Source organism: Homo sapiens, chromosome 15 (genome assembly GCF_000001405.40).
Source record: "Homo sapiens chromosome 15, GRCh38.p14 Primary Assembly".
NCBI lineage: Eukaryota > Metazoa > Chordata > Mammalia > Primates > Hominidae > Homo > Homo sapiens.
In genome coordinates this window covers 34,505,903-34,531,235 of record NC_000015.10, presented here as the reverse complement: position 1 = coordinate 34,531,235, position 25,333 = coordinate 34,505,903, and the positions used below count along the sequence as shown (strand labels likewise).

At 47.3% G+C, this 25,333-nt stretch overlaps 1 protein-coding gene, 1 non-coding gene and 1 pseudogene across 3 annotated transcripts in view, besides 2 other annotated features; 2 read left to right on the top strand and 1 right to left on the bottom strand.

Moving 5' to 3' along the window:
- GOLGA8B (golgin A8 family member B) overlaps positions 1 to 6,141 on the top strand; it is a 58,557-nt gene extending 52,416 nt beyond the window's left edge. For both annotated transcript variants that reach the window (NR_027410.2, NM_001023567.5), the window contains exons 16-24: positions 968 to 1,054; positions 1,162 to 1,269; positions 1,487 to 1,574; positions 1,962 to 2,218; positions 2,486 to 2,629; positions 2,764 to 2,864; positions 2,947 to 3,047; positions 3,159 to 3,314; positions 3,402 to 6,141. Coding sequence is in view for 1 of the 2 variants with exons in the window: in NM_001023567.5 (NP_001018861.3) it covers positions 968 to 1,054; positions 1,162 to 1,269; positions 1,487 to 1,574; positions 1,962 to 2,218; positions 2,486 to 2,629; positions 2,764 to 2,864; positions 2,947 to 3,047; positions 3,159 to 3,314; positions 3,402 to 3,604 (1,245 nt within the window). In the remaining variant the exon portion in view is untranslated. The remainder of the gene's footprint in view (positions 1 to 967; positions 1,055 to 1,161; positions 1,270 to 1,486; positions 1,575 to 1,961; positions 2,219 to 2,485; positions 2,630 to 2,763; positions 2,865 to 2,946; positions 3,048 to 3,158; positions 3,315 to 3,401) is intronic.
- MIR1233-2 (microRNA 1233-2) lies at positions 2,865 to 2,946 on the top strand. Its single transcript, NR_036261.1, has one exon. It is a non-coding gene; the product is annotated as a microRNA 1233-2 (primary transcript).
- Positions 6,142 to 7,613: 1,472 nt separating the features above from the next.
- DNM1P5 (dynamin 1 pseudogene 5) lies at positions 7,614 to 10,629 on the bottom strand (annotated as a pseudogene).
- Positions 15,985 to 16,214: a silencer, noted in NCBI's record as "silent region_6288". NCBI's record gives its function as "represses an Ori minimal core promoter by ATAC-STARR-seq in GM12878 lymphoblastoid cells {active_cell/tissue: GM12878}" and the evidence as "EXISTENCE:reporter gene assay evidence [ECO:0000049][PMID:35858748]".
- Positions 16,645 to 16,884: a silencer, noted in NCBI's record as "silent region_6287". NCBI's record gives its function as "represses an Ori minimal core promoter by ATAC-STARR-seq in GM12878 lymphoblastoid cells {active_cell/tissue: GM12878}" and the evidence as "EXISTENCE:reporter gene assay evidence [ECO:0000049][PMID:35858748]".

The following is a 25,333-nucleotide window of genomic DNA, read 5'->3' as shown; positions in this document are numbered from 1 at the left end:
CCCGGCTTCACAGATGGAGGAGTGAGCCTAAAGGTCCCTTCTGCAGGATGGAGTGTCCTGCCCAGAAGGCAGCATGGCCATTTCTCACTGCTTTTGTGTATGGTTGTTAGAGGCAGCCTGAGGCTGAGTCAGCTGCTGTGGGTGAGTCGGGGGGCGCGGTGGGGAGCGAGCACTGGATGCAGAGCTTGGAGGCCAAGTGCCTGCCCTGCCCTTACCTGGCTGTGGTCTTGGCCAAGTCCTAGGTGGGGTGTGGGGTATTGGGTACTTGTACTGTGAAGGTACAGAAGGGTACCTTTAGTATGTTCCCATTTCTGTAGAGAGAGGAAACGTGTGTGTGTGTGTGTGTGTGTGTACATAGTATGATAATATACATAAAACATGTCTGCAAGTGTTCGTAAACAACTCAGGAGAGAGCAGCAGGGTGGCTGGGAGATACTTCCCTTTGATACCTTCCGAGTTTTGGACTATGTGAATGTATCATCTTTTCAAAAAGTGAACAAAAGATTAATTTTCCCCTTCCTAACCGTGCCCCCACCCCCAGCAGAAAAATGGGCTTAGAGAATCTGATAGACCTGGGTGTTCAAATCCTAGCTCTGCCTAAGTGATCTTAGGCAAGCACTTAACCTCAAACACTCCATGTTTTTTCATCTACCCAAGAGAGGGCATCATAGTAACTGTCTCCTCTGGTGGTTGCGAGGATTAAATGGGATTGCTAGCAAGGTACCTGCTGAAGCACTCCATAAAGGTTCAAACAGTGGGAGTAATAACAATAGCAATATTATCTGATCTCTCTCCTTGTCCCTTCCAACTTCACTGAGTTTTTTTCAAAACCAGACCACGGGCTTGGAAATGCCTTGATCTTTACTGACCGAGTTGTATATTGAGCCTAGCCCTAGCCCTTTTAAGGGGCACTGTGTGGAATGGCCCAGGCTCCCCAGATCGAAACTTCTCACTCTTCACCATCCAGTTCTCGAGCCGCAGTAAAGCACTTCTCAAGCGGCAGTTAGAGCAGTCCATACGGGAGCAGATACTGCTGAAAGGACACGTGACACAGGTGAGGTTTTGCAGAGGGAGGGATGTGGAAGGAAGATGACCCCAGGTGGCCAGGAGCAGGTGAGGACCAGTGACGGCCCTTCCTAACTTGTGTGGCCATTCTTGCAGTTGAAGGAGTCGCTTAAAGAAGTCCAGCTGGAGAGAGATCAATATGCTGAACAAATAAAAGGAGAGAGGGCCCAGTGGCAGCAGAGGATGAGGAAAATGTCGCAGGAGGTGAGATCTGACCCTTCAGCCTCCCGCCCCACCCCCCCCCCACCAACAACTTAAGATAGGTCACTGGATCTTTCTGGGCCTCTTTAAAATGGGAATAGTGCAGCCAGAGGTGGTCCTGGGTCTGGGCTTTGTGGAGGTGGGGGCAGAGAGGGAGATGGGAGCCTGTCCAGCCACCAGCCCCTCTCTCCAGGGCCCTTTCCCCCTGTGCTTTGGGCAGGTTTGCACATTGAAGGAGGAGAAGAAGCATGATACGCATCGGGTAGAGGAGCTGGAGAGGAGCTTGTCCAGACTCAAAAACCAGATGGGTAAGATGGGGCTGGCATGACCTGGGAGCAGGACTGGCATCAGAGGGCTGTGGGGGTGGCTTAGAGTGCCCCAGGGAGGTGGGTGGATGGCAGGGCTTTGAGGCAGAGGGAAAGAGGTCTGTGCCAGGAGACAAGTCTTGTCATCTCCCTGAGCCTCAGTGTCCCCATGAGCAAAGAGGGCCCGTTGTCAGCCACCCGCAGTGCTCTCTATCTGAAAGTGGTTTGGAAGACTGGCTACCATCCGGGTGCGAGGGATCGTTAGCAGTGAAGCCAAGTTTGGGAGCCTGAGAGGAGCTGTGCGCCAACAGGAGGGTGTTTTGTTGTTTTTTCTGTTTTGATTTTTGTTTTGAGAATCCAGAGGCCCTTATGATCTGCTTCCTTTCTCAGCTGAGCCACTGCCCCCGGATGCCCCAGCAGTGTCCTCTGAGGTGGAGCTGCAAGACCTGAGGAAGGAGCTGGAGAGAGTGGCAGGAGAGCTCCAGGCTCAGGTGGAAAACAATCAGTGCATCAGTCTCCTGAACCGTGGGCAAAAGGAGAGGCTTCGCGAGCAGGAGGAGAGGCTTCAGGAGCAGCAGGAGAGGCTTCGGGAACGGGAGAAGAGGCTTCAGCAGCTGGCCGAGCCACAGAGCGACTTGGAGGAGCTGGTGGGTTGCCCCACCTGGGGAGCCTGCCCTCCTCCCTAGCCCTCCAGGCCTTTGTTTCCCCACCTGTAAAATGGGGCAGTGTAGCCCTCACATGAAATATTACTTCCAAAGGCACCTGTGAGCCAGAGCTTTGCTCTGGTGGCTGTGGGAGAGAGGAGAGTATTTTTCTAACTTGGCTCCACCCTTCCCGGTGCCATGGGAGGCAGACACCAAGTTCTGGGGTCTCCAGCTGCAGTGGGTGGCTGCTGATTGCTTCTCTCTGTCCAGAAGCACGAGAACAAGAGCGCACTGCAGTTGGAGCAGCAAGTAAAGGAGCTGCAGGAGAAGCTGGGCCAGGTGATGGAGACGCTCACCTCGGCCGAGAAGGAGCCAGAGGCAGCAGTCCCAGCCTCAGGGACTGGGGGCGAGTCTGTGAGTGGGGAGACCCTCCGGGCCCTGCAGGAAGTCATGGAGAAGCTGGAGGGGAGTGAGTCCTAGCATGGGCCAAGAAGGGCAGGGCTGGGGCAGGTCGCTGCTGAGATGTGACCCCATTATTTTGGCTCCAGAGCGGCCTTATGGACCTCCTGGAGGAGAAGGCGGACCTGAGGGAGCATGTGGAGAAACTGGAACTTGGATTCATCCAGTACCGGAGAGAGAGATGCCATCAGTGAGTGGGAGGCCAGGGCACGGCAGGGGGAGCTGCAGGGCTATGGGAGGGGCCCCAGCGTCTGAGCCCTGTCCTCCCGCAGGAAAGTACATCGCCTTCTAACAGAGCCAGGGGACAGTGCCAAAGATGCGTCACCGGGAGGAGGCCATCATCAGGCTGGCCCAGGACAAGGAGGAGAGGAAGGTAGGGTGTGCAACATCCCTGTGGGGGTGGGGGTGGGGTGGGGGTGTGGGTGGGGTGGGCATGAGGGTGGGCGCCAGCAGCGGCCTGACAGCTGAGCACCCGTCCCTTCAGGTGAAGCTGCTGGAGCTGCAGGAGATGGTGTTGCGGCTTGTGGCAGCTACAGCGAGGGGCACGGCAAATTCCTGGCCGCTGCCCGGAACCCTGCTGCTGAACCCAGTCCAGGAGCCCCAGCCCCCCAGGAGCTCGGGGCTGCCGACAAGCATGGTGGTGAGTAGAGCCCCCAGGCGGGGTGAGCAGGCAGGAGCGGGGGGCGGCTAGCACTCCACTCAGATCCCCGCCTCTCTCTCTCCAAAGATCTTTGTGAGGCGAGCCTCACCAACAGCGTGGAGCCTGCACAAGGAGAAGCCAGGGAGGGTTCTTCCCAGGACAACCCTACTGCACAGCCAGTCCTGCAGCTCCTTGGTGAGATGCAGGACCACCAGGAGCACCCAGGCTTGGGCAGCAACTGCTGTGTGCCATGCTTTTGCTGGGCTTGGCTGCCGAGAAGAAGGAGATAAACACCACCATCATCAAAGAGCTGCTCAAGAAATTTTTAAAAACGAAACAAAGTTATGGGGTTAATCTCCTACACAATTCATTTACTTCATTTGAATGTTAGAGCTACTCATGATTATTTGTGTTTCTAATTTATAGTTTAAGTTTATTTGTAAAAAGTTAAAAGAGAGTGGGTCTCTGTGCCTCTCACTGATGTTCACTCTGGCATCCTTTAGCATTTTTCTTTTTTCATTTCATAATTGTAGGTCATTAGCATGCATATCGAGTTTGCCCTTACGTGGTGGGAGTTCAAACACACAAAGACCCACTCTTTGCACAAAACTGTTCTCGCTGGTTTGGAATAGGCTCCCGTGCTTTTTTAATGTTATTGCAGCATGGATGTTCATTACAGAATTCAGATAAAATTTGCTAATGTTCTGCTATGATGTTTGATCTCATCTTAATCACAGTGAGCTCTTCCATAGCTCAATATGCGGTTTGCCCTCAAGTGTGCACTGTTTATTACTTTGTAATATGCCACTATGAGTACTGACACTTAGAGCTGTTTAAAGGCCGAGAACTGGAAACAGCCTTTCCTCCATTTTCTGTGTATTGGTGATGGGAGTGATAACCTTTTGGGGGAGCTTTCTAAATCTCGCAGAAGAGGAAAGTGGCCTGCTCTGGCAGGTATGTGCAGGATACAGTGTGTTTCATCTGTTCCGGTGCCAAGAATGAGCACTGTACTGTGGCAGTTCCCTTTGGATTTGTATGTGCTCTGGGCTCATGAAGATATTGCATCGTGAGCTGCAGCAGTTGCACTCTTTTTCAGTGACCTAAAAATGGCTTATTTCCGAGGAATGAAAGGCTGCCATCGTTGGCTGTGGATGTGGAAAACCTTTCCTAGCTTAGAGCATTTGTATCTACAATACATTTTAAAGTCAGAGTTCGTGTTCCCTGTTTTAATCACATGACTACCTGTCCCAGTACACGAAAGGGCGCTGGTTGGCATTCTTCTTAATGTATTTAGTAAAGATCATAAGACATCCTTTAAGAGTTTAAATGTCTCTGAAACAGGCATACAGGCTCTAGTCAAGAATGAATTAGAGTGAAGGAAAGCTGTGTGACACCTGGCATTCCTCTCTGTTCATGGAGCTTCTTTGAGGCTTGAAGTTTGATTTTACTATCTAGACCTCTCTGGCTAATACCTATTCTTCAACCACCTCGGTTACTCTGACATAGGAATTTACTTCTTTTCCTTGAGTGGAAAACACTTTAGAAAATAATAACAAACATTATTATAAACTAATATATGTGAGAGTACTTAGTTGAAACAAAAAGGAATTTTAGTAGACAGTATTATATTATCTTTGAAAATCAAGGAGAAGTTTATGCAACTGAAAATGTTTACACACTGTGCTGCAATCTACTGTTTGTGAATGTCAATGTATTATCAGGAAACATGTCTATACGATCGCAGAGTTGTATTTCCTCACAAACTTCTTTACGAAGAGTGAAATATGTTTTTGTACCTCTCAGTTTCAGTCAGGGACATATTTTGTGCAATATTTCTGTGATTGTGCCTATGCGTGATGAGTGAATGCATTTCAATCATACATTGCCTAAATCATAACTTGATGATGCTTGGGAAAGAATCAACAGTTAAAACTTCATGAAGTTCTAATGTCTGTGTTCCAAAACACATCACATTATTAGGTTGTAGGGAGATATGTATGTGTGCTCCCTGGGGTGGGGAGTTTTCTAGTTACTAGACCATCTCCATTTTTAGCACTTGGCAGCCTCATGATCCTTTTATAAATAGGAGATTAACAGGAGAGCAGCAATACGATTTTGCCAATGGAATAACAGATTTGCCGGCATTCACTGAAAGAGGGCAGATATTGGGTCCTTGTGACTTCAACTGACTCTTCCGAATTGTATGAATTTATCAATGTATTAGATAAACCCAGTTTCAGAATAATAAAGAAAAAATATTAGACCAAATAATGTGGCTAATAGTGGTATGATTTCTAGCCCGTGGGTTTAAAACTGTATCCTAAAGAGTCATTTTAAAATAATATAAATATTTAAAAGTGTAACTGCTATCTTTATGTTCTGAAATAAGTTAAAACATTTTAAAATATGAATACTGTAGTTTAAAAGAAAGAAATGGTGGGAAGGAAAAGTAGAGAAAGAAATGCCAATTCCAGTCCAAAGCTTTGTTTGCCAAGTTTTCTTAGAATGAATTTTACCAATGTATGGGTTCTTGTTAACAGAATGTGTAACAGAAATACTGAAAGACTTTTGCCTAAAGTGGCATTATTGACTGCTGGTGTGATGCTACTGTAATGTGATAAATTATTAAATTGTTGCAAAGTGCTGTTTTTGCCTTAAAATTTTATTTTGCGCATCTTGAAAATTATAGTATTAAAGGTATTGATACTGTGCAAATACTGGGCATGCTTGGCATGAGATAATCTGTTTCATTTTCACAAAATTGTAGTATAACTATGCAAGTGTTTATTAAAAGAACACAAAATAAAAAAGGTATGGGATTAAAAAAGTTATGGGGTGAAAAAGTTATTGGATAAAAAATGTAAAACTGTTGTGGCAAAAAAGTAGAAAAACGTTTTCTGAAAAGTTACCAAAACAAAGTTATGAAAAAGAAGTTATGGGATTTAAAAAAGTCATGGAATAAAAATAAAAATTAAAAGCAGGCCCCTGTCAGCAAAGCCTGGAGAAGTGGGGCCGGAGTCTCCACCGCCACCATGTCCCTACCACCCCTTCCCAGGCACCCCTTTACAATTAGGGTAGCAGGACAAGACCTCTGTCTAATGGGGAAAGACAAACAGACCCTTTGCCCCCTCGATCAGGGCTGAGTCCCTAAATTTCTGGATGATGATGATTGTTATTTAAGAGCCAGAGGCTGGTGGAGTTGGTTTGTTTGGAGGAGGCCTGATGCCCCCCTTACTCTCACCATAGCAACTTTTCCCTCAGGGGGGCTCCCACCTTCTTATTCAGAGAGGCAGGACAGTGGGGCTAACTGTGGACCAGGCGAGGGCACGGGCTGCTGGGGTGGCCCCCGTTCCCCGGTGTACATATTGTGTCTGTGTAAGGTTTTGTATATTCCAGAGGGTAGGGCCGCCCCTGTATCATACCTAGCTGAGGTTGGAGCCGGCACATGGGGAGGAGGTTGTAATAATTATTTGTGGCTGCGAAACTTATTTATTGCTAGCATAAGACAGAGGAAGGAGGCGGGGATGGGGTTGTGGCTCCCTGGTGATGCGACTCCTGTTTATTTTGCTTTTTATTTTGGAATATATGGATTTAGCCATACTGCCCGACCTGGTGTGTTCCCATTTCACTCACTGGGTCCTGGAGTTTGTGCCACCAAATGAGGAGCCCCAGAGTGTCTTGAGTGTGTCCAGCTAGGCTGTTAGGGACCTTCCAGGCGTGTTACCTGTATGCTGCCTAGTGGCGCCTGGGGGATTCCACGGGGACTGCCATGGTGCCTATGGGGCGCAGTCCAGCCCTGACAGCCAACAGGCTCGGAAGCCTGTTGTAGCGGTGGCCGGGAAGACAGGTACCAGCACCTAAGGGCACTGACTTCCACCCACCCCAGGCGTCTTCCCTTCTGTCCCCTTCCTCCCTCCCCTGTCTGCACCTGGTGGCCTGTTCTCTCTGTCCCTCCAGAGTGCCGGCTGCCCGGCAGGCTCCCTTCAGGCTGAGTTCGTGGCCCTGCCCCCTGGTGGCCAGAGCCGGCTTCACAGGACAAGAGCCAGCTAAGTTCCAGGGGCTTTCCAGGAAAAGTGTCCCTTGGAAAGGGTATGGCCTTTTCACCCCTCCAAACAGCACCCTAGAAATGGCTTGGCCTTTCCCCTCCCCTGAGCTCCACAGAGAACACAGCCAGCAGAGGACACACTTCCCCGTCATCCAGAAATGGGTTTGATTCTCAGCCAAGGGACAGCAGGACTGGTAGAGAGTGTCAGGCCACACAGCTGCCTGCACAGCACTCCCATGCTTGGTGGGGGGCGGGAGGGATGGCGGGGGCTGACTCTCCATAGGCCAGGCGTGACAGGGAGACTCACCGGAGGTCTTGCACTTTGGAGGGGCAATGTCGGGACAGCTTTCTCTTGTTGGGCCACAAGACTCCAAGAGGACAGCACGGTGACTGATTCCCAGCACTAGAGGCGAGGCCGTTGGCCACATGTAGGTGTAGGGGTGTGTGTGTGTGTGTGTGTGTGTGTGTGTGTATGGGTATTTATAGATATTTATAGAACAATGCGAGGGCATACCACAGAGGGGGGCACAAGTTTCACAACAGTCACACCTGGACGTGTCAGCTCACCACTACAACAGACTAAGTCACAGATGAAGGGGGCTGGCTTTGGGGCTGGGGGAGCCACTGCCAAGTCACAGAACAGCCGCCCAGGCAGGCTTGGAAAGGGAGGCCTCCGAGAAGAGGAGGGATCTGTTTAGAGGTCGAAGGGGGGCGTGGGGCTCTCAGGATGGGATGGACTTGCGTGACCCGATCGGCTGGCAGTTGGAGAGAAAGCAGAGAGAAAAGAGGAGAGACAAAAGGGAGCAGAGAGCTGGTGAGGCCAGTGCGGAGCACAGGTGTGCCACAGCAGCTGTGGGAGGGCCAGGGAGGGGAGGGCGCAGGTGCGGCTGTGGCAAGGTTCCTGGAAAAGAGGGGCTGGAAGGGAAAGGGGAGGAAGATGGAGGGAGGAGCCGGAGCTTCACAGGTAGTGCCTGGGGACTGTGGCGGCCCTCCCCACCCCACACATGCTGGCCTCTTCCATTGCACCCAGGCAGTGTACCCACAGGTCAGACCAACGCTCGGCCCCTTTGGGCTTCCCTCTTCTCTGGTCACCAACCAACTTGTCTTCCAAGTCGTCTTCCAACCTGTCTTCCAACCAACTGGTCCAGGGCCACCTCTCACCTTGGGGAGCCCAACGTAACAGCCACCAGGCCTGACAGAAGGAACATCGCTCGAACAAGGATGATGAAGCTAAATGGGATGGATGGTTGGAGTGATCGCCGGAGCCCCCTCTGGGTGGTCAGGAAGCTCAGGACCCTCTGAAGGGACCCTGGGGGAGGCAGGGTGGGCAGGCAGCCGGATGCCACTGGCTATAAACTTATAAGTCTAAGAGGGGAGCCTCAGCTTGTTGGAGATTGCAGGTCCCATAGGTGAGGCTGGGTCCTTCCTCCCAGGGAAAGAAGAGGGAGACCATGGCAAGGGAGGTGGGTGGGCTTGCTGGGCAGAGCTCAGCTGGGCCAGCAGGCACTGTGCTCCCCTCGGCTGAATAGCAGGGCCAACCTCTAGGAGCAACAAGCCAAGGTGCGTGAGCCTGCTGGCTGGTGGTAGTGCTTCAGCGGAGCCCAGGGACCCTGCCTTCAGTCACATGCTAGCAGCTATGATGGTACCTGGGAGGGAGGGAAGGGGGCTGTGTGCCCCTACCTGACCTGTGAGGTGTGTTTTGGGTTGACCGTGTGTATGGGACTCTCGAGGTTTTATCCTAGATCACCACTGTTTTGCCGACAGATAGAGGAGGTGGGACCCTATCACCCCTGCTCTGCAGTGGATTTGGCTGTCAGCACTCCAAGGCATCCAGGCTGGGAGCTGGATGCCCCACCCTGGCAGCATGGCTCAGACAGCACAAAAGGCATGGCGTGCCCAGGATGACATTCCTGGGCCTCTGGCCACCTCAGAGTACAGCCCCACACACAACCCCCTCCAAGCTCTCAGCCCTTACACCATAAACCACGAGCTCCCTGACGGCTCCAGAGACCACCCACATCTGCCAGCTTGGGCACGGAGCCTGTTCCAAGAGCCCCCAGGCTCAGCCATGGGGGCTGGGGAGCCTTGGGGCCATGGGGGCCAGCCCTGGTACCTGCGTCTGGCAAGGACGCTCTGCACCTGCAGCCAGGAGTTGTCCATGGGCCCCCATGTGCGTGCTGATGGTGGTTGTGTTGATGTCACCGATGATGCTGAGCACCTCCTTCAGCACGTGGTACATGCGCAGCATCTCATCTCGCCACTGTGCCTGCTCTGCCAACTCCTCCATCAGCGTGTTCTGGTTCCCATGCAAGTACAGGTTGGACAGCAACTCTGATAATATGAACTCCTTGGTCTGAGAGGGGGCAAAGAGGGAAGGAGGTTGGGACCTGATGCATGTGCTGGCCTGATGCCTGTGCTGGGACAGTGTGCTGGACTTGGAGCCCTGAGTATGGCTTTGCACACGCGGCTTCTACACCGCTTAGACTCAAAGATCTGCCGCCCCACCGCCCTTTTCTCACTCAGATAGGGACACTGAGGTCCAGAGGAAAAGTCACCTGTCCAAGGTCACAGATCTGGGAGGGGACACAGGACCTATCATGCCACCAGGACACCTGTCTACTCAGTTTTTTTAAATAAAATTTTTGGAGAGAGGATCTCACTGTGTTGCTAGGCTGGAGTACAGTGGGTGAGATCACCGCTCACTGCAGCCTCAACCTCTTGGGCTCAAAGTGACCCTCAAATGTCAGCCTGTCGAGTAGTTAGGACTATAGGCACGTGCCATCACCAAGCCCAGCTATTTTTAAAATATTTGTGTAGAGACCAGGTCTCACTATGTTGCCAAGGCTGGTCTCGAACTCCTGGGCTCAAGCTATCCTCCTGCCTTGGCCACCCAAAGTGCTGGGATTACAGGCATGGGCCACTGTCCTCAGTACCATGTTATATTTCTATGAGACAGATCTGGTCTGGACCGTGCCTCCCTCCCTGGACCTGGTCCCATAGGGCTGGCCAGCATCTCCCCCTGGCCAACATGGCCACCTGCATCCCCAATGCCACAGGAGCCCCCTGCTCCCATGAGGCGGTGCATGCCTGTTGTTGATCATGACGTGCATGATGGTCTTGGGCGTGACACCAACCATGAGGTCCCACACGGTCTTGTTGACAATGGCCGCGTAGGAGTCCACCAGGTTCTGCGTGGTTTCCATTTGCCGCTCCAGCTGTGGGTCCATGGAGTGCATGAAGCTGTCGGAGCCATTCTCCTCGGCCTTGCTGTCCTGTCATGGAGAACACAAGGGCATCAGGGTGGCCAGGCCATGCAGCCAGGCTCCAGGAATCCCTAGGATCTCAGCCCCTCCAAGGTGTACCTGGAACATTGAGGCACAGAGAAAAGCAACTGGCCTGAATACACACCCAGCTCCCCACATGGCTCTAGACGGTTTCAGGCCTCTGCCTCTCAGGACCCCAGACTCCCCTGATTCAGTCTCGTCTAAGTTCTGACTCTAGTGCCCAGAATTTGCCTCAAGTTACCAATCCAGAAATTGGAAAAGAACATCTCCAGCTCCCTTGCTTGGAGACCTGGCCAGAGCTTGTGCCAGGCTGCAGACGCCTGGCAGGAGGCAAGAAAAGGGCATACTCACTTTCCCCTTGCCCTGGGAGGCCCATGCACCAACACTGCCACCGCCGCTGCCACCATGGAACACGGCAAAGGAGACACACACAGAGAGGAAAACGGGAAGGGTTGAGTGAACCTGCAACACTGCACCCCAACTTTAATGCGTTGTGGAATTCAGTTAGCTCATATTTTGTTGAGGATTTTTGCATCAATATTCATCAGTGATATTGGCCTGTAGTTTTCTTTTTTGGATATATCTTTGGTTTTGGTATCAGGGTGACACTAGCCTTGTAGAAAGAGTTTGGAAGTATTCCCTTCTTCTCTGTTTTTGGAATCGTTTGGGTAAGGTGGGTATTAGTTCTTCTTTAAATGTTTGCTAGAATTCAGCAGTGAATCATCAGGTCCCAGGCTTTTCTTTGCTGGGAGATTTTTACTACCACTTTCATCCCATTATTTGTTATTGGTCTGTTCAGGTTTTGGCTTTCGTCATGGTTCAATCTGGGTAGTCTGGTTGTGTCTGGAAATTTATCCATTTTTAATAGGTTTTCCTATTTCTTTGCCTATAGTTGCTGATAATAGCCACTAGTGATCCTTTGAGGTTTTGTTTGTTTGTTTGTGTGTTTTTTGAGGTGGAGTCTCGCTCTGTCTCCCAGGCTGGAGTGCAGTGGCGTGATCTTGGCTCACTGCAAGCTCTGCCTCCGGGGTTCACGGCATTCTCCTGCCTCAGCCTCCTGAGTAGCTGGGACTATAAGCATCTGCCACCACGCCCGGTTAATTTTTGTTATTTTTAGTAGAGACGGGATTTCACTGTGTTAGCCAGGATGGTCTCGATCTCCTGACCTCATGATCCACCTGTCTCAGCCTCCCAAAGTGCTGCGATTACAGGCGTGAGCCACCGCGCCTGGCCTGAGTTTCTGTAGTATCAGTTGTCATGTTTCCTTTTGTTTGTCAAGGTTGTGTGTCTTTTCAAAAACCCAACTTTTAAAAAAATTATTTTATATTACTTTATTTTATTTTATTTTATTTGCAGACAGAGTCTTGCTCTGTCACCCAGGCTGGAGTGCAGTCGTGCAATCTCAGCTCACTGCAACCTCTGCCTCCCAGGTTCAAACGATTCTCCTACCTCAGCCTCCTGAGTAGCTGGAATTACAGGCATGCTCCACCACGCCTGGCTAAGTTTTGTATTTTTAGTAGAGACGTCATTTCACCATGTTAATCAGGCTGGTCTTCAACTCCTGACGTCCTGAACTGCCCATCTCGGCCCCGCAAAGTGCTGGGATTATGGGTGCGAGACATCGCACCCGGCCCACAGTTTGTTGTTAAATTTTACTTATTTCCTTTTTTTTTTTCTTTAGAGACAGGGTCTCATTCTGTTGCCCAGGCTGGAGTGCAGTGGTGCAACCATGGCTCACTGTTACCTTGAACACCTAAACTCAAGACATCCTCCCACCTCAGCCTTATGAGTAGCTGGGACTAGGAGCCTGCACAACCACACCCAGCTAATTTTTCTAGTTTCTGTAGAGACAGGGTTTTGCTGTGTTGTCCAGGCTGGTCTTGAATTCCTGGCCTCAAGCAATCCTCCTGCCTCAGCCTCCCAAAGTGCTGAGATTACAGGCATGAGCCACCATGCCCGGCCTATATATACATTTCCTTTTCCAAGTTATATAAAGTATGCTGTATGCATCCTTCTGGAATTTGTTTTTTTCCCCTTAATAGTATATTGTTCAGATTCTTATTGTTGCTTATAGCTGGCTTTTATTCTTTTGACTGCTTGTGACATCACCAGAAGATAGAGATCCTGGAGATCTCTTAAGAACTGCTGTTGGGCCGGGCGCAGTGACTCACACCTGTAATCCCAGCACTTTGGGAGGCCGAGGCAGGTGGATCACAAGGTCAGGAGGTCGAGACCATCCTGGCTAACACAGTGAAACCCCGTCTCTACTAAAAAAATAAGAAAAAATTAGCCACGCATGGCGGCGGGCACCTGTAGTCCCAGCTACTCAGGAGGTTGAGGCAAGAGAATGGGGTGAACCCAGGTGGCAGAGCTTGCAATGAGCCAAGATCGTGCCACGGCACTCTAGCCTGGGCGGACCCTGTCTCAAAAAAAAAAAAAAAAGAACTGCTGCCTGCTGCTGGGAGCATACACTGGTATGACCACCTTGGAAAACAGTTTGGCTCCATCTCATAAGGTTGAATATTCACACTCCTCCCCGCCCAGCAACTCTACTCTACATCCAAGACAAATTCTTGACTATATAAAACAGGGGATGTGGACAAGGCATGCAGCTCTGTTCAAAATAGCAAAAACTTATTGCCCATCAACTGGAGAGTAGCTGACTAAATTGTGCTTTTTCTTCCCTTTGATTTTCTGTAGTCTTACGATGCAAGTGGCTTTCCCATGGCTAGCTTGGGGAGGGGGATACTGTTGGCAATCGAGTCTGGGGTGGCAGTCCTGCTTAGCCCTAGGGCAATCGGTGCTGCCCAAAACAAGAGTAAACAGAACAAGTTACCCAGTCGAGCCAATGCCTTGGGTCCCTGGAGGTACAGACTTGTACCTGTAGGAAATAGCCATCATACACATCAGTCTTTTCAAATGCTTTTGTCACCGGGCTGAGTCCAAAGGACATCCTCTCCCAAAACATTACAAAGTTTACTGGGGCTACCATTTATCGAGCATTTATCATGTGCCTGAGCATGTACTAGTGTACCGATTGCATGCATTATTTTATTTGTTTGTTTATTTATTTATTTACTTATTCATTTCTTTGAGATAGGGTCTCTTTCTGTTGCCTGGGCTGGAGTGCAGTGGTGCGATCACGGCTCACTGCATCCTCAAACTCCTGGGCTCAATTGGTCTCACCTCAGCCTCCCGAGTAGCTGGGACTACAGGCATAAGCCACCAAGTCCAGCTAATTTTTAAATAAACATCTTTAAATAAACATTTTAAATAAATGAGGTTTGGCTTTGTTGCCCAGGCTAGTCTTGAACTCCCGGCTTCAAGCCAGCCTCCTCCTTCCGCCTTATTGTTGCATTGAATCTTCACCATCACCCTATAAGAGTGCCTGGGGGTAGGTGCTCCACACAGTAACAACGTAGCAACCTCCACTCATAGGTGACAACGAGATTCAGTTTAGTCAAACAGCTTCTCAAAGGTCACACAGTTGGAGGGTGGCTGGGCCAAGATGAAGACCTAGGACTCTAAAGCTGGTGCGCCAGTAAATGAGAAAAATCTCTGGGGGTTCAGGATCGCTTCCTCCCAAGAAATCTTTCTCCAAAGGTTCTAAAAACAATGACAGATCCATCTTTCATAAAGCAAACAAAACTAGCAGCCCCTTCATTTTGGGGGTGGGGAGTGGGGGGAGGATAAAGGTTAGCTAAGCTCCAGGGCATCCCATTTTAATCCTACATATTTATAAGGCAACTGCCAGCACAGCACCCCAAACCTAAAGAACCCTGCACAGCTGTCTCTGTGGGGCATGGCGTGTCTATGGGTGTAAAGATTTTCCAATGTGTGCTTACAGGCCAGTGGCATCATCCTCAGTCACAGGTTAAAGGGCAGCTAGGGCTGGCCTGCTGGGCACCACCGTGAGAATCTGCGGAGCTTTCCAACTAGTTTACCTGTAGTTTGCAGCGACAGACGCCCTGAAAAGAAGGGGTGTGGGTGGGAAGAGTTGTGATTTGAGGTCCCCTGATCCGGGCACGATCTCTTTTCCCAGTCTCAGGAATCAGGGGACTCCATCTGTAAACACAGGCTCAAGCTATGTCCCCCAGCACCCTCTTTCAACCAGGCGCTACCCTCTGCTTCTCTTCCATAGACAGCCCAGAGCTGCCAGCATTCCCTTAGGATCTGTGCCCTCAGGCCTGGCTTAATTTTTTCCTCTCCAAAGAGCCATCTGTAGGGCCAGAGCCCGGCAAAGCCTAACTCATTACTGGATGTCAGTTCCTTTGCCTGACTTTCAGTGATTCCTACCTTAACCTGGGGTTTTATGTTTCTCGTCTCAACGCTAACATTTCTCATTCCTCCACGAGTTGAATTGCTCACTCCAGCCAACTGACGCATGCTTTTCTTGACAGTTAGCTTGAGGCACACGGTTGGTGCTTTAAAAAAAAAAGCATTATGTCAATTTCATTGATCAACAAAAGTGATGGCTCCACTGCAAAGCTGATAGTGCCTGGACCTCTGAGTTCAAGAGCCTTCTAGACAAAGGGCTCTGAGCTGAAACGTGAGCATGCACACATATGCCTCCCTCTCGGTCTGATGAGATAATTTGCATACTTGGTTGTTATCCTTGAGCATTTTCCTGCCTCATTAGTGCACGTGTAGCCAACACAATAATAATCATAGCTAATAACGGCTAAGGCTGAGGACTTTCCTTAGCCAGGTAGTCGCTTTAAAAACTTTAAAGTTTTCACTAGACTCTCATTGAATCATTTCTCTTTTTCAGATCAAGAAACTGAGACTTACTATCACATTCGGGATGAAGTTAAAACAAAAAAAGAAACTGGGGCTTAAAGCTGTCAAGTATTTCACAGCCAGCAAGTGGCTACGTTGGAACTTGAACCCAGGCAGTCTAGCCCTGGGATCCAGTGTTGACTACGCAAAACTAAAGTGTACATGTTTTCAACTACAGTTTAAGTGGGTGACATATTTTTCACTATATTTTATGTAGGTGACTTTCAGTTTGGGGGTATTCTACTTACACAATCTATTGAGCTGGATATTAACTGAGAACAAAAAGAAACTAATGAACTCCGAAAAACATAAAACATGAGCAACATGATGTCACCGCAAAAGACAAATCAGCACAGAGCCTTCTTGGGACTGTATTTTGCTGACCGTCCAGGAACGAGTTATCATCTGCCTGAACTCAGCAGTGCTCTGTTCCCTTGGGACACACACACACACACACACACACACACACACACACACACACAGAGAGAGAGAGAGAGAGAGAGAGAGAGAGAGAGAGAGAGAGAGAGAGAGAGTTAGTGGCTGTGCCGCCCTGAGCTTCCAGTCGGCGAGTGTGAGGAAGGAACCAGATGGGTCGGGCAGAAAGGTGCTGGGTCAAGGGAGGAGGGGGCAGCCGGGAGCGCGCGCACGCTCTGGACTCGTGCACCCGCCGAAACTGGTGCGCGCAGGGCCCGCCTGGTTGAGGGGTGAGGGGTGAGGGTGACGGGGGCAGGGTAGGGGCAGCCCTTTCCCAGGCGGTAGTGGGGGCAGTGGTTATGTTGCCCTTTGAAGCTGCGGCTTGACAGGAGCCGCGCCTCCTGTGGGTGGAGTCGGTTACAAAGGGAGCAGCCCCCCAGGCCGCCACACAGCTCCCGCCAAGGCCTCCGTGCCCTTGCCATTTTCCAGCCGCGCTCCCACAAGGGTCCAGGCGGCAGGCAGAGGCAGAGTCGCGAAAGCTCGGCTGGGCGGCCCCGCTGGGTAGTCGCGGCCGTGACAGCGGCTCCGGACAGGCTCCCCTTCCGCGCCCCTCCCGCCGTAGATGAGTGGAAGATGTCCGTGTCAGGGTTCAAGGCCAAAGGGAAGTTTCTGGGACTATCTTCCACAAGAACCAGGAGCCGCAGCCCCCGCTCACGCTCCACTGCAACATGACTGTGAGGCGCCCGGCGGCGGCCTCGCGGGGCAGGGCGAGGGCAGAGAGGGGGCGCCCGGAGTCCCAGGACAAAGGGGAGCCTTCCCCAGAGAGGCCCCAGTTCCCCGCCCCTTTCTCCCGCAACTGGCCCAGCCCCGGCCCGGGACTGCCGGAGGCTTGGGTGGGAGGAGAGGGGAGGGCGCGTCTCTCCGACTCCTCGCGTGGCGTAAGCTTGGGGGCTGTTGGCCCCTCTAGGCCCCCGTCGCCGCGCCCCGAGGTGGGAGCCCGCGACTGCCGGAGCCTTCTTGGGACCCATGGTCGCCCTCAGTCGGCCAGCCTGCTCCGGAGACCGCGACAGGGCGGTGCAGGGCGGCTCCGGCGTTTTTTGAGCCCAGGCGGGGAAGGGGAAAGACCTTTAAGATTTTCGGTATTTTGGCTGGGCGCAGTGGCTCACGCCTGTAATCCCTTTGGGAGGCAGAGGCGGGCGATCACCTGAGGTCAGGAGTTAGAGACCAGCCTGGCCAACATGGTGAAACTCCGTCTCTACTAAAATATACAAAACTTATCCAGGCGTGTTGGCAGGAGATTTAATCGCGGCTACTTGGGAGGCAGAGGCAGGAGAATCGTTTGAACCCGGGAGGCGGAGGTTGCAGTGAGCTGAGATCCAGCCGTTGCACTCAAACTTGGGGGATAAGAGGGAGACTTCTCTCAAAAAAAAAAAAATTCTTTTTTCTTTTGAGGGAGTCTCACTCTGTCACCCAGGCTGGAGTGCAGTGGCGCGATCTCGGCTCATTGCAGCCTATCTCTCTTGACAGTCCACTGGTTAAAGCGATTCTGCTGCCTCAGCCTCCCGAGTAGCTGTGATTACAGGCGCCCGCCACCACGCCTGGCTAACTTGTGTTTTTAGTAGAGACGGGGTTTCACCGTGTTGGCCAGGCTGGTCTCAAACTCCTGACCTCAAATGACCCACCTCTGCCTCCCAAAGTGCTGGGATTCCAGGTGTGAGCCACCGCGCCAGGACCCAAGGCCCTTAAGTTTTAACGCCTCATTCTTCAGTCAGGTTTTCCTTGCTCCCGCGTGTTCAGCCAATTGGTTTCAAGTTTGTGTTGAAGGAGAAACTAACAATGAAAACGGAGTCGTTGATGGAAGAAAAGTTGGAATGCAGCCTCTGGTGCTGTTTGAGTGATCCCTCTCCCCAGGGGCTGGCTGCGCACTGCTGTGTTCTGGAAAGGCGCATTGTATGGTAGATGCCGCAGGTAAGAGTCCTGTACAGGTGCTCTGCCCGCTTTTCCTTTCAGGCTTCTGTATCAGCTGTTTTTCCCTTGTAGAATGTGCCCCTGACCTGTGCCCCTGACCTCCACCCTTTAACCCTACCCAACTCGTCTTTACACGTCTGACCATCAAGGCTCTTCTGGGTCATATTGAGTTCATGCTGATATTTTCCCTTCCTCCCCTCTTCAGTCCTTACTATTTTTGTTTTGGTCACGTTATGCTATATTCTGTAAGCCTTTAAGAAATTCTTTTATGGTGGCAGGGGAGAATATTTTGTAATTATGCTTTGTGCTTTTTATCTTCCACTCAATAAGTGCTTGGTAAATATTTGTTTTATTGAGTATATGACCCTATTCTAGCTATATTGTGCTTGAACAAAAATCTTAACTGCCCTGTAAGTTAACTGCTAAGAATTTGTCAAAAGTGCAGAGATGACATCCAGAACTTGTCATGGATAGTGCAAAAAGGTCTCTAAGGGCTTGATGGAGGTGTGTAAATGGACTTCATGTGAAAGAGTGTAAGAAGCGAAAATGTGAAGCATGACTGGAGAGCCGGAGAGATAAAGCAAGGGTCTCTTTCTCCAGATCCTTTGTAACAGTGTCATGTGACCTCTTCTTGAAGATCGTTCTGAAAGATAATGCCACCCTGGAACCTAGGAAATCACCCAGTGGGTTTCTGCAGGTTAGGTGCTTCAAATCCTCATCAGCACCTTTGTTTTCTCTGCCTCTGTTTGCTCACAACGATGTTCTCAGTAGCTGTAATTGCTGTCTTTGAATACTTAAGCATTTTTTTTAGATCACAGGGGTATATGTGCATTTTTATTTTACGAAGTGTTAGAATTTTTACTCCGCTTTTGTGGGCTCTGCGTTAGCTACTTGGTTGTTTAGTTGTAAAATGATTAGCAGGGAAAACTGTGTGTGTGTCTGTGTGTGTGTGTATTTTAAGGTTCTCTTGTTGTCAGAGCACTTAGAATTTTATTTTATATGGTAATTCTGTCAGTTTACTTTATTCTCCAGCCCACATTTATTGAACAGCAAAGTATGAAAGTGATGTGTCCCATAACCAGCCTTCAGAGGAATTACAACTGCTGTATGTCTGAACTTAGAATTACAACTGCTGTATGTCTGAACTTAGAATTACAACTGCTGTATGTCTGAACTTTATTTTCTTTTCCTTTTTTTTTTTTTTTTTTTTTTTTTTGAGTTGGAGTCTCACTCTGTCACCCAGGCTGGAGTGCAGTGGTGTGATCTCGTCACACTGCAACCTCCGCCACTCCGGTTCAAGTGATTCTCCTGCCTCAGCCTCCTGAGTAGCTGGGATTATAGACACCTGCCACACCACCCGGCTAATTTTTGCAGTTTTAGTAGAAACAGGTTTCACCATCTTGGCTAGGCTGATCTCGAACTCCTGACCTCGTGATCCACCTGCCTCAGCCTCCTAAAATGCTGGGATTACAGGCATGAGCCACCATGCCTGGCTGAACGTTCAAGAAGAAGTTTGTGCATCAATTTTTTAAAAATTGTGATGTCAAAAGATAGCTGTGTCCTACACTTGGAAAGATACAAAAACTGCACATTCTGGCAGGTAGTTTTGCTTGCTGGTGCTTGAGATAGAGCCATACATTGATCTCAGTGGATTTATGGAGAAAAATAGATAGAGAAAGTTATTTCTAAATAAGACCAAAAAGTCCTTTTCTTAAGCAGTGACAGGTAAAGAGGTTGTCTTGGTTAACCTTGAAATGTGTTGCCCTTGATTAAGACAGTTTTATGGTGGGGATGGTAGTGGTGATAAACTTGTTTGAAATTTGTCCACTTATAGTAACCTTTGTGGTAGCTGTCACAGACAACTTCATCCTCACAGGCCTTAAAATTACTATAAAATTAATAGAATAGAGGAGAAACAAAGGACCTGAATAATTAGATGCTTAGATAATGGTAATGTGTTTTCATAACCGGTGAAGAAGAGCAGTGTTAGAAGCCTTTAAACATTCTATGTAAGGAACACTGCCTGAATTTATATTGCAATTTTTGAGCACCATTCATTGTTTAAAAACTGGTATATTGTAGGTCATATTTTAAAGACAAATAGAAAACTTTTTTCCAGATGGATATAAAGCTTAACCTTAACAAAATTACAAAATTTAAAGCATATGATTGAAAAATATTAATGCATAGGTTTAAATATTGGTCGTCATTTTAGATGTCTTTCAAAATAGATTGTCTCTTAAACTGAACAAACTTTGAACATGTTGTAGCATTTGTGCTGAAGGTTAAGTTTCCTGAGGAGGTGGATATTTTATAATATGGATAACAAAGCCTTATTTTAAGAAATTTAGAAAATGTTTAGGCAAAACTAGAAAATGTTACCGATAATTCTCCCACTCAGAAGGTACCACTATCAGAATTTTGTATTTTTCCAGTCATCTGCTCATCTCTTTTCTCCTGTGCTTGTATGTGTTCCCTCTCCCTTGAAAAATCAGATTTTTTTGTAATCTGCTTTTTCACTCAACAATATTGTAGATCCACATCATAACTTACTCCTCTACAGTGGCTTCAGTTATTGTGTGTTTTCTGTTGGATGACTATACCATCTAGTCCATCATGTTTCCTGGTACTAAATACATAGGGGTGTGTGTGTGTGTGTATTTTTTTCTACCTTAACTAATGCTTTAGACGTCATTAGGTAGAGCTAAATCCTTGAAACCTTCCAAGTGGTGGCTTTCAGTTCTCATTGCTGAATTGGTTTCTAGAGATGGAACAAATTATATTGTATGGAACCTTTTTTTGTTTTTGAGATGAAGTCTTGCTCTTGTCACTCAGGCTGGAGTGCAATGGCATGATCTTGGCTCACTGCAACCTCTCCCTCCTGGGTTCAAGCAATTCTCCTGCCTCAGCCTCCCAAGTAGCTGGGATTACACGTGCCTGCCACCACGCCTGGCTAATTTTTGTATTTTTAGTAGAGACGGGGTTTCACCATGTTGGCCAGGCTGGTCTCAAACTCCTGACGTCAGGTGATCCACCCGCCTCGGCCTCCCAAAGTGCTGGGATTACAGGCATGAGCCACCATGCCTGGCCTTTTTTTCTTCTAGGTACCAGCTTTTATTTATCAGTTTGGTAAAAATGTTAGAAAGTGTGCAATAAAATGGGCATTCTCACAGTTGTGGCACAAAGTATAATTATCTTTGACTTTCTAGGAAGCAGTTTGGCTTTGTAGAAACTTGCCTAACCTCTCCCCTTTGAGGCAAGATGAATTCTGACTATCCCAAGGTGGCCAACCTTGTCCCTGTGATTCCAGATCTCCCAGAAAAAGAGGTCTAGTCTCAGAGAAAACCCAGATTTTCTTGGCTTAGCCCACCTTGACAGCTAAGCACTGGAAATGGGGTGGGCTGGTAGAGTCCTTTGGTCAGATTTTGTGTCAAGACAGGGAGGTGGAAAGATGGGAGGGAGGTAGCAAAACTGGCCTGAATGGAACTCTGTAAGTTAAAATGGCAAAGGGATGTTCCTTCCAAGGAAGAAATTCTAGGGAAGGCAGGAAAGTGGAGGGGAAGGCAGCAGTTCTCAAAGTTTTGGAATCAGGACTCCTTTACATTCTTAAAAATATATTGAGGGCCCAAGGAGCTTTGGTTTATGTAGGTTATATCTACTGGTATTTATCATTAGAAATTAAATCAGAAATATTTAAACTATTCTTTAAAAGCTCACCACGTATTGTTATAAATGTTTTTATGAAAAAATTTCTAAACCCAAAGTAGCACAATCTTATATTTTTTGCAAATTTCCTTGATGTCTGGTATGTCATTTTCATCTGCATTCAATTTATTGTGTGATATTTCCTTGAAGAAATGTGAACAATGTCCAATCTCATACAGATAGCCATTTTAGATCATTGTGGATATATATATATTTATATATTTATATATATATATAAATTTTGTTTTTTGAGATGGGGTCTTGCTCTGTCGCCCAGACTGGAATGCAGTGGTGTGATCACAGCTCACTGCAGCCTCAGTCTCTGGGGACTTAGGTGATCCTCCCACCTCAGCCTCCAGAGTAGTTGGGACTACAGGTGTGTATCACCACACCTGGCTAATTTTTTGTATTTTTTTTTTTCGTAGGGACAGGATTTTGCCATGTTGCCTAGGCTTCTTTTTTGATACTCCATCAAAACTTGGTTTTTCTTGAACTTTGGATCTTTTACCCTTGCATGATATTATAACATCATGCATTGGTCATTTAGAAAATAATGGTTCACCGAGATCTTCTACATGTTGATACATTTGATTATACAGTATCAAAATACATTCATCAATATCACCATCAATCTCAGCAGAATACTTTTGGAAAGCAATGGTGGATATATTTTCTAAAATTCTAATTTTTTATTCAGAAGCTTTAATTTTATTATTAGCAGTTTTATTATTGAATTTTATTATGGCCTGTCTGTTGTTTTTCTTGAAATGACAGAACCTCATTTTTTGAGAAAATGTCTCCCAAAAACCCCAGTTGAAATAACATTGTTTGTCAGTACTCCTTTCAAGTAAAAATGATACTCCATTAAAGTGGTTAATTCACTTCAAGACTTAGTCACATGAGGGTTTTTCCTCAGGCAGTCTGTAGGAATGCTCATGTGTGCTTCCAATTTCATCACTTGAAATATTAAAAAGACATATTCAAGGATTAAGATGTAGTAAAATTTTCACTGCTTCATCATAGACATTCTTTTTATTTTTGAGACAGGACCTTGTTCTGTCACCCAGGCCAGAGTGCAGTAGGATGATCACAGCTCACTGTAGCCTCAACCTTCTGGGCTCAATCCTCCTGTCTCAGCCTTCCAAGTAGCAGGGACTACAGGCATGCAACCACCATGTCCAGCTAAATTTTGTATTTTTTGTAGAGATGGGGTTTAACCATGTTGGCCAGGCTGGTCTCAAATTCCTGACCTCTGGTGATCCTCCCACCTCAGCCTCCCAAAGTGCTGGGATTACAGGCGTGAGACACTGCCCAACCTGCCCTTCTTTTTCAAACCTTTCCTGTGCATAGTGAAGAATACTATGATTACTAGTAGTTTGGTGTTACTGCCTTTATTTGTGCTAAACTGCCCGCATTTTTACCCGGTATTGTATTAGCACCCTTACACCAAATGTCGCCATGTTAGTATTCCTGTTAAAATAGTTTGGACCTGGGTGTCTGAGGGCCCCACTGTGGGAACCATTGAAATAGGTACTTAAACTTACTATATATCATATCTTTTCATCTACAAGATTTTTAAAATAATAATTTCATTTAATTTTTTCTGTAATTTTTAAAATACGGTTTTGAGGAGTTTCAGTTCAAAGCAACACATATTTTATTTTGCTTAAGCTGAAGTTTACTAGACAAATACTGACCTAATAGAATGAGGACCTAAATCTAGTTGCAGTTTCTCTAGGAAAAAAAAAACAAAAACCCAAAAGTAAAAATGTAAAAATGGTCCATATGGTGTAGTCCCAATGTATGCTGAAGAATTTGAAGAGGAAAATGCAATACTCAGTAAGTGCTGTTCTTTATGAATAGGATTAATTCTGAACAGTTTCTTTTAGCCTGTAAAGAGATTTGGGACACAGTAAGAGAGGAATGAGAATATAGTAAAATAAACCATTATTGAAGAGATATACTGTTAATGATGTCCTCTTTCAATACAACTTGTTTCTTTTCTTCTTCATCTTCTTTTTTTTTTTTTTGAGACAGAGTCTTGCTCTGTCACCAGGCTGGAGTGCAGTGGCACAATCTCAGCTCACTGCAACCTCCACCTCCCTGGTTCAAGCAATTCCCCTGCATCAGCCTCCTGAGTAGCTGAGACTACAGGCATGTGCCACCATGCCCGGCTAATTTTTTCTTATTTTAGTAGAGACAGGGTTTCACCATGTTGGCCAGGATGGTCTCAATCTCCTGACCTCATGATCCACCCACCTCGGCCTCCCAAAGTGCTGAGATTACAGGCGTGAGCCACCATTCCTGGCTAACTTGTTTTTCTTAAAAGAACCTTCAGTAAATATTTGGTTTCTGTGGCCTCAGCTATAATTCAGATTACAGTTTTCAAAGCAGTGTTTCCTAAAGTTGTTTGTGCGAAATTGTTTTCCATGACTTGAACCTAGTTGTTCTGAAGCTAATATAATAATGGCTTTTCCCCAATTCATAATAGAAAACAGTACAAAGTCACAGACTATTAGATGGGGGATGGAAGAAGGACAAGGGTTGAAAAAGTAACTATTGCATACTATGCTCACCATCTGATTAATGGATACATTTGTACTCCAAACCTGAGCATCAAGTAGTATCCCATATAACAAATCTGCATATGTACCCACTAAATCTAAAATAGATGTTGAAAAAAAAGTTTTTCCATATCAGCAATAATTGAATTGAAGGTGTAAAAGTGTAATAAAAATTGAGACACTACAAAGTATCTTGTAGTTAAGCTACAAAAAAAAATCCTAAAACCATCTATATAGAAAATTTTAGGAATTGATCTTAAAGGAAATCCAAATAAGTGGAGAATTATCATGTTAATGGATGTGATAAATTAATATTAAATTACATTATTTTTCCAGTAAATCTAATATGGTCATTGATTTTAAAATGTGCGTAGACTATTAATTTTTAATAAATAACTTGATTAATTTTTTAAAATGCGGAGGGTTGGACTTGCCTTATCAGACGTCGGAACTTATTACAAATATATGGGGAAAAATGCAGTAACTGGTGAATTTTTCATTTCCATTAAGAAATACTGGATCTGGCCTTGTGCGGTGGCTCATGCCTGTAATCCAGCACTTTGGTAGGCTGAGGAGGGCAGATCATCTGAGGTCAGGAGTTCAAGACCAGCCCTACCAACATGGTGAAACCCCCTCTCTAGTAAAAAAAAAAAAAAAAATTAGCCAGGTGTGGTGGCAGGTGCCTGTAATCCTAGCTACTCAGGAGGCTGAGGCAGGGAGAATCCCTTGAACCTGGGAGGTGGAGGTTGCAGTGAGATTGCACCACTGCCCTCCAGCATGGGCGACAGAGCAAGACTATGTCTCAAAAAAAAAAAAAAAAATGCTGGATCTCACTGGCAATGGAAAGGGAAAGGAACGTTACTGATGGCAACATATTACTAATGATAAATAAGCACATGAAAAGATACTCAATATCATATGTCATTAGAAAATTGCAAACCAAAACAATGAGATGCTACTACATAGCTCTTATAATGGCCAGAATCCAAAATAGCAACACAACTGAGTGCTGGTAAGAACAATGAGCAGAAATAACTTATTCATTGCTAGTTGGGATGCAAAATGGTACATCCACTTTGGAAGACAGCTTAGCAGTTTCTTATGACACTAAGCACACTCTTAGCCTATGATTCCATAATTGTGCTCATTGGTATTTGCCAAATGAGTTGAAAACTTATGCCCACACAAAACGTGCACACAAATGTTTATACCAGTGTTATTCATAATTACCAAAACAGAAACAACCAAAGGACCTTTCAA